At 44.2% G+C, this 21,728-nt stretch overlaps 1 long non-coding RNA gene across 2 annotated transcripts; it reads left to right on the forward strand.

Annotated features, from left to right (window-relative positions):
* The first annotated feature begins 1,030 nt into the window (after window positions 1–1,030).
* LOC105379413 (uncharacterized) lies at window positions 1,031–14,580 on the forward strand. Of its 2 annotated transcripts, none has more exons than XR_001756042.2 (3): window positions 1,031–1,607; window positions 6,298–6,511; window positions 11,452–14,580. It is a non-coding gene; the product is annotated as an uncharacterized LOC105379413 (long non-coding RNA). The 2 variants fall into 2 exon arrangements; XR_001756045.2 differs by having other exon boundaries at window positions 6,298–6,460.
* The last annotated feature ends 7,148 nt before the right edge of the window (window positions 14,581–21,728 follow it).

Consider the following 21,728-nt stretch of genomic DNA (forward strand, 5'->3'; position numbering starts at 1 on the left):
GGCATGCTGAATTAACCGCTTCCCATACCCACATGTAAAACTTCAAAGCTGTCAGTAACGCCTCACGCATGATCCTCTTCCATCAATCCCACCTCCAGTTACGGCCAGAGAAGACACAAGACCCCAGTTCAAAAAACTGTCTTTTTTGTGGAGCTCTTCTTTCTACTAAGACTTTAGTTGTGTATATCAATTGTGACTTCAATTACGTATAATGGATCTCTCCCGATTTGGGTGAGATTACAATTCCTGATGAGATTTGGGTGGGGACACAGAGCCAACCATATAATTGATATGAGCAGGGGGGCTGGTGAAAGGTGATTGGATGACGGGGGCAGAGTTCTCGTGAATGGTTTTCATGAATGGTTTCGCACCATTACCCCCTTGGTACTACAGTAACCGAGTTCTCATGAGATCTGGTTGTTTAAAACTGTGTAACACTTTTTCTGTCTTCTCTCTTCCTCCTGCTCTGGCTAGGTAAGACACTTGTTCTCACTTTGCCTTCTGCCATGTTTGTAAGTTTCCTGATGTCTCCTCTGAGCCTCCAGAAGGAACCAAGCCTACTGATACCTTGATCTCAGCTGTTGGCCTCCAGAAGTTCGAGAGAACAGACGTCTGCTGTTTCAAGCCACGCAGTTGTTGGTATTTTTCTACAACAGCATCTGAATCCTAATGCATGCCCTCTAACTGTGGGATCGATTTTGGGGTGCTGAGATGTGGCCTGTTTCTCCTATGACCTTCCTTGTGTTTTTAGTGCTCTTGGAAGAAGAGAGAATTAAGCATAGAATACCCACAGAGAGGAATCTCTCTTTCTTTTTTTTTTTCTTTGAGACAGAGTCTTGCTCTGTCACCAGGCTGGGAGTTCAGTGGCACGATCTCGGCTCACTGCAACATCCGTCTCTCAGATTCAAGCAATTCTCCTGTCTCAGCCTCCCAAGTAGCAGGGACTACAGGCGCATGCCACCACGGCCGGCTGATTTTTTTTTTTTTTTTTTTTTTTTGTATTTTTAGTAGACATGGGGTTTCACCATCTTGTCTAGGATGGTCTCGATCTCCTGACCTTGTGATCTGCCCACCTCAGACTCCCAAAGTGCTGGGATTGAGGAATCTTTCAACCCCTTGCTACCTTTCAAATTGCATAGGAACATTGAAAAGATGATAAAATGTGGAGGCTCAAAGAAAACAAGCAGTGTTCAGCATTCCGAAAGTGGCCTGGTTTGAGGAAATTAATTATTTGGCATCTCTGAACAAGTGGTGTTTTGGACTCCTAAACTTAAAGATAAATACATATTGTTTCCTACCCTTCATTCGTCTTCCTTCTCCTCGCCCGACCCAGAACTCCAAGAAGGCTAATCTCTTCTGCAATATCGTAATGGCCTTGAAGCAATCTAACATCTGTGTTCTTCCTTTCCTCATCTATGAAATTACTTTCAAATAACCAAATTAAACAGGATCTTCCATTTGGGCTGGAATGGTAAGAGCGGCAGAGGACAGCATGTTCCCATTTATAATAGCAGGCACGGAAATTCAACCAGACTTTGCTGATCTAAGAGATGCTCTTGGAAGACCCCATTACTTAAATGATCTAGAAAATGTCCTCCCGAGTCAAGGTATGTCTTAAGGAAGAAAAACGTACAAACAAAACCCAGAAAACTGTTTTAAGAGTCTTATTCTGATGAGACTCTATTTGTATTTGCCAAATAGCTGTGATTTTCTGGAATGCAGGACAAGCTGATAAATTAGGCAGGATGAAGACACTTTTTTTCTCAAGGGCAGGAACACAGATAAGAGCACCTAAGTGTAACACTTTGTTCTGGGACACAGCCCAACTCCAGTCCTTCTGTAGAATATCTGTATTCAGTCAGAGGATATCAAAGATGGATAGAGCCTTGGGAATTATCTAGCACAACCTTATCCATTTTACAGCTGGGGAAACCAGAGCTGGGAGGGCAACTTCCAAATTGGTAGTGATCCATCGTACACAATTGAAGTCATCATTGGTAGACACAACTGAGGTCCTAGTAGAAAGAACAGCCTCACAAGACAGTGATTTGAACTGGGGTCTTGTGCCTTCTTTGGCCATGACTGGAGGTGGGATTGGTGGAAGTGGGTGATGGGTGAGGCTTTACTGACCAATTTGAAATTTTGCATGTGTGTACGGAAAGGAGTTGACTCAACAGGCCTGGCGATATGGTTTGCATCTGTGTTCCCACCCAAATCTCATGTCAAATTGTAATCTCTAGTGTTGGAGGTAGAGGAGCTGGTGGGAGGTGATGGGATAAAGGGGGCAGAGTTCTCATGAATGGTGTAACGCCATCCCCCTTGCTACTGTATAGTGAGTGAATTCTCATGAGATTGGGTTGTTTAAAACTGTATGGCATCTTCTCTCTCTCCTCTCTTCCTCCTGTTCTGGCCATGTAAGACACCTGCTCCTGGCTGGGCATGGTGGCTGAAGCCTGTAATCCCAGCACTTTAGGAGGCTGAGGCAGGTGGATCGCAAGGTCAGGAGTTCAAGACCCACCTGGCCAACATGGTGAAACCCTGTATCTACTAAAAATACAAAAACTAGCTGGGCATGGTGGCAGGCACTTGTAATCCCAGCTACTTGGGAGGCTGAGGCAGGAGGATCACTTGAACCTGGGAGGCAGAGGTTGCAGTGAGCCGAGATCTCGCCACTGCATTCCAGCCTGGGCAACAGAGTGAGACTCCATCTCAAAAAAAAAAAAGACAAAAAAAAGAGATACATTTTCAACTTTCACCCCCCCACACCCCAACACTCTCCCCTTTGGACTCCCCAGTGTCTGTGAACTCCATCTCTTATGTTTATGGGTACCTATTATTTAGCTCCTACTTATAAGTAAGAACATACAGTATTTGATTTTCTTTTTCTGAGTTATTTATCTTAGGATAATGGCCTCCAGCTTCATCCACATCTCTTTGGAAGACATGATTTCATTCTTTTTAAGCCTGTGTAATATTCCATGGTGTATAAATACCACAGTTTTTTTTTTTAATCTAATTCTCCAATGGCAGATACCTAGACTGATTCCGTATCTTTGTTGCTGTGAATATACTGTGATAAACATATGACTATGGGTGTATTTTTGATGGGATGATTTCTTTCTTTCTTTTTCTTTCTTTCTTTCTTTCTTTCTTTCTTTCTTTCTTTCTTTCTTTCCTTTCTTTCCTTTCTTTCTTTCCTTTCTTTCTTTCCTTTCTTTCTTTCCTTTCTTTCCTTTCTTTCTTTCTTTCTTTCTTTCTTTCTTTCTTTCTTTCTTTCTTTCTTTCCTTTCTTTCTTTCTTTCTTTCTTTCTTTCTTTCTTTCTTTCTTTCTTTCTTTTCTTTTCTTTTCTTTCTTTCTTTCTTCTTTCGAGACAGAGTCTCATTCTGTCACCCAGGTGGAGTCCAGTGGTGTGATCTCGGCTCACTGCAATGTCCACCTCCTGGGTTCAAGCAATTCTCCTGCCTCAGCCTCCCAAGTAGCTGGGATTACGGGCACCTGCCACCACACTCAGTTAATTTTGTATTTTTAGTAGAGATGTGGTTTCACCATGTTGGCCAGGCTGGTCTCAAACTGCTAACCTCAGGTGATACATTGAAAGGATGATTTCTTACCCTTTGGGTTTATGCCCAGGAGTGGGATTCCTCGATCAAATCATAGTTTTATTTTTAGTCTTTTGAGAAATCTTCATACTGTTTTCCATTCAAGCTTTATTTACAGCCGTGGTTCCCAACCCTTTTGGTACCAGGGACCAGTTTTGTGGAAGATGATTTTTTCCATGGATGATGACCTGGAGATGGTTTTGGGATGATTTGAGTACATGACATTGATTGTGTTCTTCATTTCTATTATTATTATTACATTGTAATACAGAATGAAATAATTCTACAACTCACCATTGCATAGAATCAGTGGGAGCCCTGAGCTTGTTTTCCTGCAACTAGATGGTCCCATCCAGGCGTGATGGGAGACAGTAACAGATCATCACACATTAGATTTTCATAAGGAGCACGTAACCTAGATCCCTCACATGTGCGGTTCGCAATAGGGTTCACACTGCTATGAGACTCTAACGCCACTGCTGATCTGACAAGAGGTGGAGCTCAGGTGGTAACACAAGTGATGGGGAGCAGCCGTTAACACAGACGAAGAAGCCAGGTATGGTGGCTCATGCCCGTAATCCCAGCACTTTGTGAGGCCAAGGTGGGCGGATCACCTGAGGTCAGGAGTTCAAGACCAGCCTGGCCAACATGGTGAAACACTGTCTCTACTAAAAATACAAAAATTAGCTTGATGTGGGGTGTGACTACCTGTAATTCCAGCTACTCAGGAGGCTGAGGCAGGAGAATCGCTTGAACCCAGGCGGCGGAGGTTGCAGTGAGCTGAGATTGCACCACTGGACTCCAGCCTGGGTGACAGAATGAGACTCCATCTCAAAAAATAAAAAATAAAAAAATACAGATGAAGCTTTGCTACTCACCTGCTGCCCACCTCCTGCTCTGTGGCCCGGTTCCTAACAGGCTATGGACCAGTGGTGGTCTGTGCCCTGGGGATTCAGGACCCCTGAGTTACAGCACCAATTTACAATATCCCTTTTTCTGGGGTCAGACGTTGAATGCATACCTAGCTTAGCTCCGTACCTGGTGCTATGCCCCGAATGCTTATTGATCTTGTTTTCTGGGTATTGTGGATGAGTGAAGATCCATGCACTGATGTTGGGTTGTTTCATTGTGGTCACTTCTCATAGCCCCCATCACACTGCAGCCTTCTCTGTGTCTCTGCATCCACATAGTTGGAGCTAGCCATCTCACTCAGGGCTTTCTTGGAAGCATAGGGAGTTGCTCCATGCTGCAGAACGGATTCCATCTGTGCAGTGAGAGAACAGGAATTGATAGATAAATGTTCCAGCCTTTCCATCCTTCAGAGGGTCCTCAGCAGGATACAGACCCCCTTGCCCATGGCAGTAACAAGTGCCATAGCAACCCCAGCTGTTGGATCTTCCCCATATGGCAGCACTCCTCTCACCATCTCTTATTTTTGCTTTATGCAATCACCTTTTTTTTTTTTTTTTTTTTTTTTTTTGAGACGGAGTCTCGCTCTGTCCCCTAGGCTGGAGTGCAGTGGAGCGATCTCGGCTCACTGCAAACTCCACCTCCCGGGTTCGCGCCATTCTCCTGCCTCAGCCTCCCAAGTCGCTGGCACTGCGGGCACACACCACAACACCTGGCTAAGTTTTTTTGTTGTTGTTTTTGTTGTATTTTTAGTAGAGATGGATTTCAACATGTTAGCCAGGATAGTCTCGATCTCCTGACCTCATGATCTGCCCGCCTCGGCCTCCCAAAATGCTGGGATTACAGGCATGAGCCACCATGCCAGGCTGCAATCACCTTTTAAATAATCTATCAGTATCCAGATACTGCTTTTCTTTTCTCTTTTCTTTTTTTTGAGATGGAGTTTTGCTCTTGTTGCCTAGGCTAGAGTGCGATGGCGTGATCTTGGCTCACTGCAACCTCCGCCTCCCGGGTTTAAGCGATTCTTCTGCCTCAACCTCCTGAGCAGCTGGGATTACAGGTGCCCGCCACCAGGCCCGCCTAATTTTTTTGTATTTTTAGTAGAGACTGGGTTTCACTGTGTTAGCCAGGATGGTCTTGATCTCGTGACCTCGTGATCTGCCCACCTCGGCCTCTCAAAGTGCTGGGATTACAGGCATGAGCCATTGTGCCCTGCTGCAATCACGTTTTAAATAGTCTATCAGTACCCAGATACTGCTTTTCTTTTCTTTTTCTTTTTTTTTTTTGAGATGATGGAGTTTCACTCTTGTTGCCCACGCTGGAGTGCAATGGTGTGATCTTGGCTCACTGCAACCTCTGCCTCACGGGTTTAAGCGCTTCTCCTGCCTCAACCTCCTGAGTAGCTGGGATTACAGGCGCCTGCCACCACTCCCGCCTAATTTTTTTTTTTTTTTTTTTGTATTTTTAGTAGAGACGGGGTTTCACCATGTTGGCCCAGCCGGTCTCAAACTCCTGACCTCAGGTGATCTGCCTGCCTCCGCCTCCCAAAGTGCTGGAATTACAGGTGTGAGCCACTGCACCCAGCCAGATGTTGGTTTTCATCTCTACTTTTGAGGAATGCTGATCTAGTACATGTAGGGAAGACTCATGTATTGTCACAACAACCATGAAAGCAAAGGACAGAATCTGGGTGTCAGGGAGTGACATGGGTAGAATTGTGTGCCCTACAACATTAGGTTCAAGTTCTGACGCCAGGTACCTGTTAACGTGACCTTCTTTGGAAATCAGGTCTCTGCAAATGTAATGAGTCCAGACACCAAGGGAAACGGAGAAGATAAGAAGCAGAGATTGAGGTAATGCGTCCACCAGCCAAGGAGCACCAAGACGTGCTGGCGACCACCAGATGCTAGCGGGGAGACCTGGAACAGATTCTCCCTCAAAGCCTCCAGAAGTAAACCAACTCTGTAGACACCTTCATTTCAGACTTCTGGTCTCCAGAGCTGTGAGAGAATCCATTTCTGTTCATTGCAGCCACTTTTTTCTTTTCTTCCTTCTTTCTTTTCTTTTTTCTTTCTTTCTTTCTTCCTTCCTTCCTTCCTTTCTCTCTCTTTCTCTCTTTCTTCTTTTCCTTCCTTTGCTTCCTTTCCTTCCTTTCCTTGTTTCTTCTCTCTTTCTGAGATGGAGTTTTGCTCTGTCACCCAGGCTGGAGTGCAGTGGCGCAATCTCGGTTCACTGTGACCTCTGCCTCCTGGGTTCAAGTGATTCTCCTGCCTCAGCTTCCTGAGTAGCTGGGATTACAGGCACAAGCCACCATGCCCGGATAATTTTTTATATTTTTGGTATAGACGAGGTTTCACCATGTTGGCCAATCTTGTTTCAAACTCTTGACCTCAAGTCATCCAGCCACCTTGGCCTCCCAAATTCTGAGATAACAGGTGTGAGCCACTGTGTCTTGCCTGAGCCATTTCTTCAGCAGTGATTTTTTTTTTTCATGGCTGCCCTAGCTAAGGAATACCATTACAATGAAAGCTGAGCTGCTTAAGCTACAATTTTTTTTATTACTTATTTATTTACTTTTGTTTCAGTCATTTTTGGAGAACAGGTGGTTTTAGGTTACATGGATAATTTCTTTAGCAGTGATTTTTGAGATTTTCATGCACCCATCACTCAAGGAATGTACACTGTACTCAATGTGTAGTCTTTTATCCCTCACTCCCCTCCTACCCTTTCCCCCGAGTCCTCAAAGTCCATTGTATAATTCTTATGCCTTTGCATCCTCGTAGCTTAGCTCGCACTTATGACTGAGAACGTTTGATATTTAGTTTTCTTATACCCAAGTTACTTCACTTGGAATAATGGCCTCCACTTCCATCCATGTTACTGCAAAATACATTATTTTGCTCCATTTTATGGGTGAGTAGTATTCCGTGGTGTATATACACCACACTTTCTTTATCCACTCCTTGGTTGATGGGGATTTAGGCTGGTGTCATATTTTTGCAATCGCGAATTGTGCTGCTATCAGTTACCACTAAAGAACTCATCCATGTAACCTAAAACCACCTGTCCTCCAAAAACTACTGAAACAAAAGTCAGTCAATCAATAAATAATAATAAAAGGCAAGTGCCTTTTTTCATATAATGACTTCTTTTCCACTGTGTAGATACTCAGTTCTGAGATTGCTGGATGAAATTGTTGATCTACTTTTAGTTCTTCAAGGAACCTCCATACCTGGATCAAATGGTAGTTCTATTATTAGTTCTTCAAGGAGTCTCCATACCTGGATCAAATGGTAGTTCTAGTATTAGTTCTTTAAGGAGTCTCCATACCTGAATCCAATGGTAGTTCTACTATTAGTTCTTTAAGGAGTCTCCATACCTGGATCAAATGGTAGTTCTATTATTAGTTCTTTCAGGAATCTCCATACCTGGATCAAATGGTAGTTCTAGTTTTAGTTCTTCAAGGAGTCTCCATACCTGGATCAAATGGTGGTTCTATTATTAATTCTTCAAGGAATCTCCATACCTGGATCAAATGGTGGTTCTATTATTAGTTCTTTAAGGAGTCTCCATACCGGGAACAAATGGTAGTTCTAGTATTAGTTCTTTAAGGAATCTCCGCAGTGGTTTCCATAGTGGTTAAACTAGTTTACATTCCCACCAGCAGTGTAAAAGTGTTCCCTTTTCACCACATCCACACCAACATCTGTTATTCTTTGATTTTTGAATTATGGCCATTCTTGCAGGAGTAAGATGGTATCTCACTGTGGTTTTAATTTTCATTTCCCTGATCATTAGTGATGTTGAGCATTTTTTCATATGCTCATTGGACATTCATATATCTACTTTTGAGAATTGTCTATTCATGCCCTTTGCCTATGTTTTGATGGGATTGTTTGTTTTTTTTTCCTGCTGATTTGTTTGAGTTCCTTGTAGATTCTGGATGTTAGTCCTTCGTCGGATTCATAGTTGGGCAAATTTTTCTCCCATTCTGTGAGTTGTGTGTTTACTCTGTTGATTCTTTGTTTTGCTGTACAGAATAAGCTACAATTTTAAGGAAGAGGATTTGTGGCAACTTACGTAGCTCAGTAAAGAGAGTGAGTAGGACCTCAAAGCATTCTTTAAAGGAGAGAGAGGACATGATCCAACTTAGACAAAGAGAATGTTCTGGCCACAGAGGCAATTTGGCCAGAAACTAGATAACAGGATGTCAAACTAGATAACAAGGAAGTCTACCTTAATTCAATGGCACAAGAGCTTGAAATCATCAAAGAGTCTTTCTGAATACTACGCTAAAGCAATTGCTTTTAATGAATATATTCAGACTTGCCAAGGCTGAGACCTCAAATACTATCTTGAGGTCTTTAACAGCTATCTGATGCTGTCAATGATTTTGTATATAAAAAGACCTTGGAACAGGAGGTTGCCATTTAGTGAACAGGGTTGGCAGTATACCTTCCCGCCTGCTTTGCATAGTGACTCATTGTCTACTCAACGAGGATTCTTAATAATCATGTCATTGGTGACACATAGGCAGTCAGTGGATTTTTTTTTTTAATGACAAGTGGAAAAATGTTAAAAGCCAGCTTTGATTAAAATGTGAGTTAAGCTGGAAAGCTCAGTGAAATCCATCCATGGCTGTATATTAAGAACTGTAACCTGCCACTGTGTGTAACACCCGTTATATAAACTCATGTAAAGATTTCAGTCACGCCGCCGGACGTGGAGACTCATGCCTGTAATCCCAGCACGTTGGGAGGCTGAAGCGGGTCGATCACCTGAGGTCAGGAGTTTGAGAACAGCCTGACTAACATGGTGAAACTCTGTCTCTAACAAATACAAAAAATCAGCTGGGTGTGGTGGCTTATGCCTGTCATCCCAGCTACTTGGGAGGCTGAGGCAGGAGAATCGCTTGAATCCGGGAGGCGGAGGTTGCAGTGAGCTGAGATTCTGCCATGGCACTCCAGCCTGGGCAACAAGAGCAAAACTCCTTCTCAAAAAAACAAAAAATGAATTTCAGCCACGCAATACATTTGGGTAACTACCAAGTATGTCTCCGCTGGCAATCCTTGAGAATCAATAGAAGTTATTCCAAAATATAAGCTGGTATAGTGATAAACCTGGTGAAAAGCACCGTGTTTTATAATGCAATGTCTAAGCCCACAGTGGCGCCTGTGTCATGGATGGAAACAATTTCCAAGTATGGCAGTGTGGGCTGCAGCTGTTCCACAGAAGATCGTAAAGTATATGGAATGGTAAATGCATGGCACGTTTTGTAAAATAATTAAATGAAGCCCAATGCTGCCATCCCTCAGGTCATATTTACATAGATGATTGAGCTGTCTGATTCACTGAGGGTTCTCTCTGTGTGTCTCTTTGGTGAAGCAATTTATTCTGCTTTTACAGATTAGAGTAGATATTTTCTAAGTGACGAAATACAATTCTTCCAGTGGCACAATATAAAATCGTATTAAAGAGCATTAAAGCATATAAGCTAACAGCATGCATACTTATCTACAAACTGGTTTCTAAAAATGGAGAAGCATTTTTTGCTTTCAGATGGAGATTGTGTACTCAGATCTCGAATTCTGTTTCCTTAAAAAATGGTTTAATGAACCCTAATGCATCTACCACTCAGGTTTTAACGATTACAAACAGTTATCAATGTGTTTTATTTTTCCATTTTAATTTTTTTGGCCACGGTATTTGAAAGAAAATCTTAGACATCATTATCATTCTGCCTTTCAATTCTACAGAACTTTTTTTTTTTTTTCCTCATCAGGCCTTTTTGTTCTTCGACAGAGTCTCACTCTGTCGTCCAGGCTGGAGTGCAGTGGCGTGATCTCGGCTCACTGCAACCTCTGCCTCCTGGGTTCAAGCAATTCTCCTGCCTCAGCCTCCCAAGTATCTGGGATTACAGGTGCCCGCAACTATGCCCGGCTGACTTTTTTGTATTTTTAGTAGACACTGAGTTTCACCATGTTGGCCAGGCTGGTCTCAAACTCTCGACCTTGTGATTCACCCGCCTTGGCCTCCCAAAGTGCAGGGATTACAGGTGTCAGCCACTGCGCCCGGCCCAACAATACTTTTATCTACTCATCAGTATGTGTTCAAATTTCCCTCAGTCTTAGAAATGACTTTCTGTGGTTGGTTTCTTTAAATAAAAATGGAAAGAAACTCCACACACTTTAGATGGCTGATTTGTCTCATAAAAGTTTTTTGATTTGTAATAATTCACCATCTTCCCTTTATTTTGTCCTGATTATATAGTCCATATCCCTTGTGACTTTCACCATAGAAGGACTTTATCCCTGTCTTCAAAAGCCATAAAAATAGTCCCCGTTGCTAACTAACAACATTGATGCTTTTGTGACCTAGGAAAGCTTCTAAGTGTAGCTTTGATCTCCTTTGTTGAGACAGAAATGGGCTGAACAGGGACCACCCCTGAGCCAAATTCTCCAGCAAGTCACTCCTGGGCCCCTTCTCTTTCTTTTCTTTTCTTTCTTTTTTTTTTTTTTTTGACGGAGTTTTGCTCTGTTGTCCAGGCTGGAGTACAGCGGTGCAATCTCAGCTCACTGCAATGTCTGCCTCCTGGGTTGAAGCAATTCTCCTGCCTCAGCCTCCCGAGTAGCTGGGATTACAGGTGTGCACCATCATGCCCGGCTAATTTTTGTATTTTTAGTAGGGACGGGATTTCACCATGTTGGCCAGGCTGGAAGGAAGGAGAAAGAGAGAGAGAAAGAAAGAGAAAGAGAGAGAGAAAGAGAGAAAGAGACAAAGAAAAAGAAAAAAAGAGAAAGAGAAAGGAAGAAAGAGAAAGAAAGATGAAAGAAAGAGAGAAAGAAACGAGGGAGGGAGGGAGGAAGGAAGGAAAAAGCAAAGCAAAGTTGAGTGACTACAGTTTCTGTACATTGGACCAATTTGGCACATTTCTTTATATAGGACAATCCATGTCCATTTACCTGTGTTCTGTGAGACAGATGAAGCCTGGACTTCTGCTATCCTGCCCTTGCTGGGAATGAGCAGGGTTGTACCTGCACTCATCATGGAATAAGCACTAAAGAAACAAAGCTACAACAGAAGATGTCCTCTACTGCAGGGCACCTTACATTCCAATCCTCCAATATGGCAGCGAGTCAAAATCTCAAAAGACCTGAGTGCCTTCTGCGTAAGTCCCCGTAGGCTTCTAGTATTCATTTTACAAGTATACTGATGCTCTCAGTTGATGCTGAGGGGGTGGCTGTTCATGAAGATGATGGAATTGGCTTCGGCAGAGGTCTCTCTTTGACCATCTAGAGGCACTGTTGCTTATCTATCAGGAAACGGAGGGAGGCACTGGGAATTTGAACTCGAGCTCTGGAGTTCTTCCATGCAGCTGTGTTTACGTATCATCAAGCACCGATTCATTGCCCGTTGGGACAGAGGAGAATCAGGCCTGGTCTGGCATCATTGCCGGGTGGGTGTGAAATGCCACTTCTACCGAGACCAACTGGAAATGAAAGATCGTCAACAGTCAAAAAGGTCACTGCATAAATGCCTGTGAAGTCCAAGTAACTGTCAGAGACAGAATACGCTTTGCAGCGGAGAGTTTTCCAGGAAAGAAAAATGGTCTCTGTGAATGTTCTTTGGGAGGCCACGGATGGCTTGTTCTGAAGTGAATGGAATTGCTTTGCAGAAGACGCATAGCCAGGCTGAGTTCAGGAGGTATCTCTTTTTTTTTTTTTTTTTTTTTTTGAGACGGAGTCTCGCTCTGTTGCCCAGGCTGGAGTGCAGTGGCACAATCTCAGCTCACTGCAACCTCTGCTTCCCGGGTTCAAGCAATTCTCCTGTCTCCACCTCCCGAGTAGCTGGCATTACAGGCACTGCCACCAAGCCTGGCTAATTTTTGTATTTTTAGTAGAGATGGAGTTTCACGATGTTGGCCAGGCTAGTCTCGAACTCCTGACCTCAAGTGATCCACCCACCTCAGCCTCTCAAAGTGCTGGGATAACAGACGTGAGCCACTGCACCCGGCCCAGGAGGTGTCTTAATCCATTTGCTGTTGCTACAACAGAGTAACACCGTCTGGGTAATTCACAGAAGAAGTTTATTTTGTAAAGTCCTGGAGGCTGGCAAGTCCAAAAGGCATGGTGCCTGCATCTGATGAGAGCCTCTTGCTATAGTACAACATAGTGGAGGACTTATAATGCCACCAGCTCTGTCCATGTGGGCCTCGCTTTGATGATCTTACCTAATTCTAATTGTCTCCTAAGGGTGCCACTCCAAATACTACAACATACTAATTTGAGAGAGAAGTTTCCAACACATGAAGCTTGGGAGACACAAACCATACAGGGTGGAGTCAAGACGGCTTGTTTAATTCGGCCAACTTGAGCAAAGAGGCATAATGGTTATTGCCTCTCTGGGTTCACTAAACACATAAACATGCCCACACTAATAATTCATGTCGACCGCAGTACTCTCTGCTTTTCCTGAATAGCATATTGTGTTGAACAGGTTATACGACCTTGGGTAGAGACTTAGCTCTCTTTAAGCCTCCATTTCTCATCTGTAAAATGAGAATGAAAGATGGTTTCTCCGTATTTATGGAAGGGTTCCAACAAGGTAAAGTGTGTAGCGTACTTTGTCAATTCTAAAGCACTCTTCTGATATAAATTATAGCATCCCCGGATTCATTGTTTGAGTTGGTTTCTTTTTTAAAATTAATTTCTGTTGTATGTATTTAAGGTGTGCAACATGATTTTTTGATATAGTGACATAGTGAAATGATTATAATTGTTAAGAAAATGAACACAGCTATCATCTCACATATTTACCTTTTTTGCGACAAGAGCACCTTAAATCTACTCTCTTAACAAAAATCCTAAATATGAAATGTATTATAGTCCTTATATTTTGCATTTGATTTCTAGACTTATTCTACATCATCTATAACAACCACCATTTTTTCTATTTCTATATATTTTCTTTCTTCCTTCCTTCCTTCTTTCCTTTCTTCCTTTTTTCTGATAAGGAGTCTCGCTCTTTCGCCCAGGCTGGAGTGCAGTGGCGTGATCTTGGCTCACTGCAAGCTCCGCCTCCCGGGTTCACGCCATTCTCCTGCCTCAGCCTCCTGAGTAGCTGGGACTGCAGGCACCCACCACCATGCCCAGCTAATTTTTTGTATTTTGTATTTGCCTTCCTTTCTTTTTCATTTCCTTCTTTCTGCCTTCTTTTCATTCTTTTATTTTTGTAGATTCTTTATATAAGTGAGATCCAATACTTTTAACTGAATGTGAACATTTCTTTTACAAAATAAAATGTATGTTCAGGCTTTTACTTAATCCATGCTAGTAAGAGCCTGGTTCAAAAATGAGCTGCAGGTTTTTTCAAAGAGAATCACAATCATTTCTGTGGAATAGGTGAAGTGAAAGACATTTTTAGAAAGTTTGCATCTTTTTGCAGAGACTTTTAATGAAGGGGTTTATGTTTTCCGCTCTGTTCGTTTACTGAAAGCAAAAGAAGAAAAGTGAGGAAGGGATTATACAAAGAAAGTGACTGAAAAATTCTGAAAATATCTGTTTTCATAAGATAAGAGCTTTATTCTAGTTCTGAACATATAATCATAGTCATCATTGTCCTTATTTAAATAAAAACAGCTAGCTGGGCAACTTAGTCTCATTGAAATTCCTGAGATCTTCATTCTTTCTTGGTATTTGGCTGAAAAAAGAATAAGTTTATCTCATTCTTTTCCCAAAGTATAGCACAAGGTTGAGAGCCTGGACTCGTGGCATGCATACCTAATGAGACCGTTGTATTACTTGGGGTGAAACTCCTTCCATTTGACTTGATGTAGTTATTTTCTTTTTCTTGCAAGGGAAGCAAACTTTGGGTTCTACCTGGGTCTTCCTTAAGCATCAGGTGTGTTTCAAATGGATAGATTTAATAATAATTGATCCACTAATAATTGATCCACTGGGCAATGATTTTTTAAATGTTTGTTTTCAAATTTAAAACAATGCCTCAAGTTTAGAAATGCCTCTCCTCGGCCGGGCGCGGTGGCTCATGCCTGTAATCCCAGCACTTTGGGAGGCCGAGGCGGGTAGATCACCTGAGGTCAGGAGTTTGAGAACAGCCTGGCCAACATGGTGAATCCCCATCTCTACTAAATATAAAAAATTAGCTGGGTGTGGTGGCACATGCCTGTAGTCCCAGCTACTGGGGAGGCTGAGGCAGGAGAATCACTTGAACCTGAGATGTGGAGGTTGCAGTGAGCTGAGATTGTGCCATTGCACTCCAGCCTGGGTGACAAAACGGAAAACTCCATCTCAAAAAAAAAAATGCCTCTCCTCTTCTAATTACCTCCCATCCCTCTCCCACTTCAAAGATCCTCATTCTGATTTTTCAAGGCTGAGTTCTGGGTTGGCAGGACAGTCTTGAATGAGGATCTGAATGTAGGAGTATTCCTGCAATTAGTCTTCGTTGCCACTAGGAGGTGGTGTGTAGCGGGGTGTCCTTTTGAGTTGACTTGCCAAGAAGACCAGGTGTAGGGTTAAGCATGATTTTCCAAATGGAAGCTTCAGGAAAGCTTCAAAAGATACCTTATGCACTGTAATGCACAGCATTTGATATTAAAACAATACATAGCATCTTAAACAATACATAGCAAGTGAAGTTTCTCTCAGGCTTCCCTCACAAAGAGCAAGCCTTGCTTATGGTGTCCTTGTTCTGTCCTATACCTTATCTCAGGCACTGTGAGCTGGGAATTAAAATTTTCTTTCCTTTTTTTTTTTGAGACAGAGTCTCGCTCTGCTGCCCAGGGTGGAGTGCAATGATGCAAACTTGGCTCACTGCAACCTTTGCCTCCTGGGTTCAAGCAATCATCCTGCCTCAGCCTCCTAAGTAGCTGGGATTACAGGCGCCCGTCACCACACCATGCTCATTTTGTATTTTAGTAGAGATGTTGGTTTCACCATGTTGGTCTGGCTGGTCTCAAACTCCTGATCTCAGGTGATCCACCTACCTCCACCTCCCAAAGTGCTGGGATTACAGGTGTGAGCCACCACACCCAGCTATCTTTACATTTTAATTATGGCAAAATACATATAACATAACATTTACTACTAGTGACATTCAGAACATTCCCCATGCTGTATAGCCATTACCTCCATCTCCTTCCAGAACATTCAACATTCCCCATGCTGTATAGCCATTACCTCCATCTCCTTCCAGAACATTCTAATCACCCTAAATGGAGACCTTGTACCTATTAAGCCCTCACTCCTCCTTTTCCCAACCCATGCAAACCCCTAATCTACTTTCTATCTCTAGGGATTCATTCCTTCTAGACATTTCACATAAATGGAATAACCCAAGGTGTGGCTTATTTATATCTGGCTTCATTTACTGAACATAATGTTCTCAAAGTACACTCACATAGCAGCGTGTGTCAGGATTTCATTGTGTTTGATGGCTGTTTCATATTCCACCATATGGATAGACGCCATTTTGTTTCTCCATTCACCTATGGGTGAACATTTGGGTTGTATTTACCCGTTGGTGATTGGGAAGAATGCTGCTATGAATAATTGGATACGTATTTTTGTTTGAACATTTGTGCTATGCTCTGAAGGTTTCTGTGTCCCCAAAGTTCATATGAGGAAAGCTAATACTCAAGGTGATAGTATTAAGAGGTGGAACCCTTGGAAAGTGATGAGGTCAAGAGAATGGAAGCTCCATGGATGGGATGAGTGCTCTTATCAAAAGAACCCCAGAGAGCTCCTTTTTTTCCTTCTACCATGCAAGGACACAGCAAGAAGGTGCCATCTACGAACCAGGAACTGGGTTCTTACCAGACACTGAATCTTCTATGTCTTGATTTTGGACATCCAACTTCCAGAACTGTGAGCAATAAACATCTGGTGTTCAAAAGCCACCCAGTCTAAAGTATTTTGTTACAGCAACATACAAAAAGACAGTGGCCCCCAAAATCTCCTCTCATCACAAGGAGCCCCCTTCACTTCACCCACAAAGGAGGCAAGATTTGAGGTCATCAGGCTCCCAACCAAGGGACTGGGTGTTCTGATCTATGTTTTAACTTTTCAATCAAGTACATCACTTCCAGCTGGGACTCTGGGTCTAGCACAGGGAGAAATAAAGTGTGAACCATCATTACAAGCTCAGGGAGGGAGGGAGAAAGTGCAAATCGAAGAGCTGGAAAATCATCGAGCCAGCCCAACTGTTGGGAGATTGGGGATTCTTTGTGCACGGAGCAGAAACAATCTCCTGCACGGGGTGGCGGCTTGGGCCAGGACTTCTCGGCATTGAGGAGTTACAGAGCTGTTTTGTAGCTAAACCGACTTTCATTCCAAGCACTTCTACAGAGAACGAAATCAAACAGCGGTGATGATGGGATCCCCAGGCCCGGCCAGTGATCTGCTTAATTACTGACCAGGGAAGCTTCAGTAGCTTAATTGGATTGATGGGCACAGTGCCTAGTCCTCCACCCACTGGTCCCAGAGATTTTTATGGATAGCATGCTGATCTTCCATGCCCTGAGGCTTGGGGTCCTGTGTCCAGCATTCCCCACCAACTGGGCAGATGCTGCTGGATTTATGTCAACAGCGAGTTCTGCAGGCACACCTCTAAAACACAGTCTCATAGTGTCTTCTGTTTTCAGGAACAAATACAAATTTTCTTCTCACATAAGTTATATCATGAACATGAGCATTTAACAAGGGACGGTGTGTGTGTGCGAGCACGTACATGTTGTATGTTGTGTGTTTTGTGTGTGTATGAGAGAGACACCACAGACACACTAGCCCCATGAAAGGCCAGGGCAGTGAGGCCTGGACCATGGTCTGCTAAGGACCTGGTGTGGCACACTGATGGTTATCACAAGTGGCCTGGGAGGTGTTCTGTTGGCCCCAGGGGTTCACTGACCATCATCACAGGTGGCCTGTGATGTGTTGACTTGGTGGGGCCCACTGACCACCATTGCTGGTGGCCTTAGAGGTGATCTGTTGACCCCAGGGGCTCACTGGTGACCACTGCCGGTAGCCTGGGAGGTGGTCTGTTGACCTTGGGGACTCATTGATGACCATTACAGGTGGCCTGGGAGATGGTCTGTTGACCCTGGGGAGTCACTGATGACCATTTCAAGTGGTCTGTTGACCTTGGGGGCTCACTGACGGCCATTGCAGGTTGTCTGGGAGGTGGTGTGTTGACCTTGTGGGCTCACTGATGGCCATTGCTGGTGGCCTTGGCGATGATGGTCTGTTGACCCCAGGGGCTCACTGGTGACCACTGCAGGTGGGCTGGGAAGTGGTCTGTTGACCTGGGGACTCACTGACCACCATTGCTGGTGGCCTTGGAGATGGTTTGTTGACCTTGGGGACTCACCACCATTGCAGGTGACTTGGAGATGGTTTGTTGACCTTGGGGACTCACTGACCACCACTGCAGGTGACTTGGGAGATGGTTTGTTGACCCTGGGGACTCACTGGTGACCATTACAGGTGGGCTGGGAAGTGGTCTCTTGACCTGGGGACTCACTGACCACCACTGTTGGTGGCCTTGGAGATGGTTTGTTGACCCCAGGGGCTCACTGATGACCATTGCAGGTGGCCTGGGGGATGGCCTATTGACTGGGCACATCCTACTGATTCACTGCAGAAGACGGGCAATTTGCTGAGCACCTAGAAGGGCCTATCAGTGCCAGGGTTAGTGGGTCCAACCTCAAGGTCCTGCACCTAGAGGACCTAACACAGACAATGTTCTGCTGGCTGCTGAACACTTGGACCTAACCCTGACCATCTTCTGCACATTGCCCAGGACTAGTTGGCCCCACTTCTTCTCTTCTCAGAGCCCACGATAGGCCCTGTGGTCACTCCCTCTGCAGAGGTGGAACTGAAATTCCCTCAGGTCACATTCCTGGTTATGCAGGAAGCTGAGAATGAGACAGGAATTCCAAACCCAGGTCAGTGGCCTAAATATGGTCCTGTGGGTCTGACCACAGGCAGTTACAAGGCTGGAACCCAGGGGAAAGCTGCCTTCCCACATCGCGCTGGGTGCACACCTGGAGCATTACACAGCTTGGGGGGATGAAGGGTAAGACCTCAGGCCCCTGGGCAGCCATGCTCTTATGAGTATGTATATCCTGGAGCAGGTCCTGCCACTTCAGGCCTCCTTACTAGTGGTGGAAGAGGCAGGTGCCTGAGCCCCTCTTCCCCATTCTGACTTGTACCTTTTGACTCCTAGCCCTTTCCACTCTCCCTCCCCAGACCTCCTAGTTCAGGACATGCCTGAACACCTCCGGTAACCTTCCCATGTGTAGTTTCCAGTATACCAAGAGGAGCTTGTGCGGTGGTTGAGCTTTAAGCAGCAGAAAGTTTCTCAGCAATTTGCCTCGTATATATTGGTATTGGTGTGCTCCAGGGAGACAGAACCAATTGTATCATTTCACGATAAGAAGAGGTTCTAAGTCGGGCGCAGTGGCTCACACCTGTCATCCCAGTACTTTGGGAGGCTGAGGTGGATGGCTGAGGTCAGGAGTTCGAGACCAGCCTGGCCAACATGGTGAAACCCCGTCTCTACTAAAAATACAAAAATTAGCCAGGCGTGGTGGTGGGTGCCTGTAATTCCAGCTACTCGGGAGGCTGAGGCAGGAGAATCGCTTGAACCCGGGAGGTGGAGGTTAAAGTGAGCCGAGATTGCGCCATTGCACTCCAGCCTGGGTGACAAGAGCGAAACTCTGTCTCAAAAAAATAAAGTAAAATAAAATAAAATAAATAAAATAAAGAAAAGGTTCTAAGCCGGTCATGGTGGCTCAAGCCTGTAATCCCAGCATTTTGGGAGGCTGAGGTGGACAGATCACTTGAGGTCAGGAGTTCGAGACCAGCCTGGCCAACATGGTGAAACCCCATCTCTACTAAAAATACAAAAAATTAGCCGGGCGTGGTGGCGGGTGCCTGTGATCCCAGCTGCTTGGGAGGCTGAGGCAGGAGAATCGCTTGAACCTCGGAGGTGGAGATTGCAGTGAGCTATCGTGCCACTGCACTCCAGCCTGGGCGGCAGAGCCAGTCTCAAAATATATATATATAAATATATATATATGTGTGTGTGTGTGTGTGTGTGTGTATGTATATGTATGTGTGTATATCTACATGCACACGAGTTTGTATGTATATATGTGTGTCTACATGCATGAATGTTTGACATATGTACATGTATATGTAGACATATATTGTATATGTATATACATATATGTATACACATACACGTGTATATGTATACATATATTGTATATGTATAAATATACATATATGTATACATATACACGTGTATGTGTATACATATGCATATACACATATATGTGTATATGTATAAATATGCATATATGTATACACATACACGTGTATATGTATACACAAGCATATATGTGTATGTATATGTCAAACATGTGTATGCATGCAGACACACACACACACACACACAAATATACGTCCAAAGACAGCATCTGAAGGACTTCAGGCTAAACCTACCTGGTGGAAGAAACTATTCTCTTAACTCTCATTTCCAAATGAGAAGTATATTTAAGATGGGTGTACTTCCCTCACGGTGAAATGGTTTTCAACTTCTCAGGGAGAGAAGTCTTATTTCCTCTTTGCCTTTCTCCCCCCATTTTCCCTTTCTTTCCTCTTCCACATAGAGCATTTTAGATGCGTCCAGGGGGCCATGGTCTGTCACTCACTCACTTCTCTTTAGCTTACAGAAAGACAACATGCTATGAAAAAGAAAGAAAAAATCTCTCTTCTCAGTTTCTGATGTTTGCTTATCTGTTATTCTTGTAGATGTATATTGCCAGATTTGTATATGTCAATGTGTTATGGAAATTTTAACAGATATAAAAAGTATAAACAATAGTGAATTTCAGCCAGGTGTGGTGGCTCACGCCTGTAATCTCAGCACTTTGGGAGGCCAAGGCGGGTGGATCACAAGGTCAAGAGATCAAGGCCATCCTGGCCAACATGATGAAATCCCCACTCTACTAAAAAGGCAAAAAATTAGTCAAGTCATGGTGGCGTGTGCCTGTAATCCCATCTACTCGGGAGGCTGAGGCAGGAGAATGGAGTGAACCCAGGAGGTGGAGGTTGCAGTGAGCCGAGATCACGCCACTGCACTACAGCCTGGGCGACAGAGCAAGACCCCGTCTAAAAAAAAAAAAAAAAAAAAAAAAACAGAATAGTGAGTTTCAGCCAGGTGTGGTGGCTCATGCCTATGATTCCAGCACTTTGGGAGGCCGGAGAATTACTTGAGCCCAGGAGGTCGAGGCTGCAGTGAGCCAAGATCACGTCAAGGCACTCCAGCCTGGGTGATGGAGCGACGTTCTGTCTCGAATTTTTAAAACAAGAAGGGTGAGTTTAAAAGCTTGTGTACCTGCGCAGAACTTCAAGAAAATATTGCAATGTTATCTTCTTCACTTTCAGCCAGAAACTTAGCCAGGTGTGGTGGCAGGTGCCACCTGGAGATCTGGATGGGGGTCGTATGAGAACATCACGTTCTTTTTCTGAGCCTCTGGTATCCAGCCTAGCCTGTAGGCATTGCTTCCTCCGATGGGCAGTTTGTGCCTCTGGAAATCACCCTTCTACCTCCCATACCCCCCATCCCAATATCTCTGTGTGCTTGGCACATAGGAGGTGGGACATTTGGTAGAGAAAATACGTGCTGAAGCAAATGGAGTGAAATTGGGGAATCTGATAGAAGCAAATGGAGTCAAATCTGGGAATTTGATAAGCCTCCCATTCACACTGGGGATACTGGGACCAGATCCAAAGCCAGCAGCATTGAAACAGCGGTTGAAGCAGCGTTCAAACAGTATTGAAACAGATTTGTGGACACCGCAGTCGTGCATGCATTCCTCATGAGGAAAGGCTGTCACTCTTTAAATTTCTCCCTGACTTGGGTGTCTGCAAATATCCATGAGTCTTATTCTCTACGTGGACACACAGATGTCCACTCGGATACCTCAGCCGTAGAAGAATCACCAAGCATCTATGACCCACATTGTTTATCTATTTATCTTGCCAGTCGTTTTGTGGGGAGGAAGGGGGCTTGCTTTGTTTAAAAAATTATTTGAGGCCAGGCACGGTGGCTCACGCCTGTAACCCCAGCACTTGGGGAGGCTGAGGCTGGCGGATCACCTGAGGTCAGGAGTTCGAGACCAGCCTGGCCAACATGGC

Source organism: Homo sapiens, chromosome Y, assembly GCF_000001405.40.
Source record: "Homo sapiens chromosome Y, GRCh38.p14 Primary Assembly".
Classification (NCBI taxonomy): domain Eukaryota; kingdom Metazoa; phylum Chordata; class Mammalia; order Primates; family Hominidae; genus Homo; species Homo sapiens.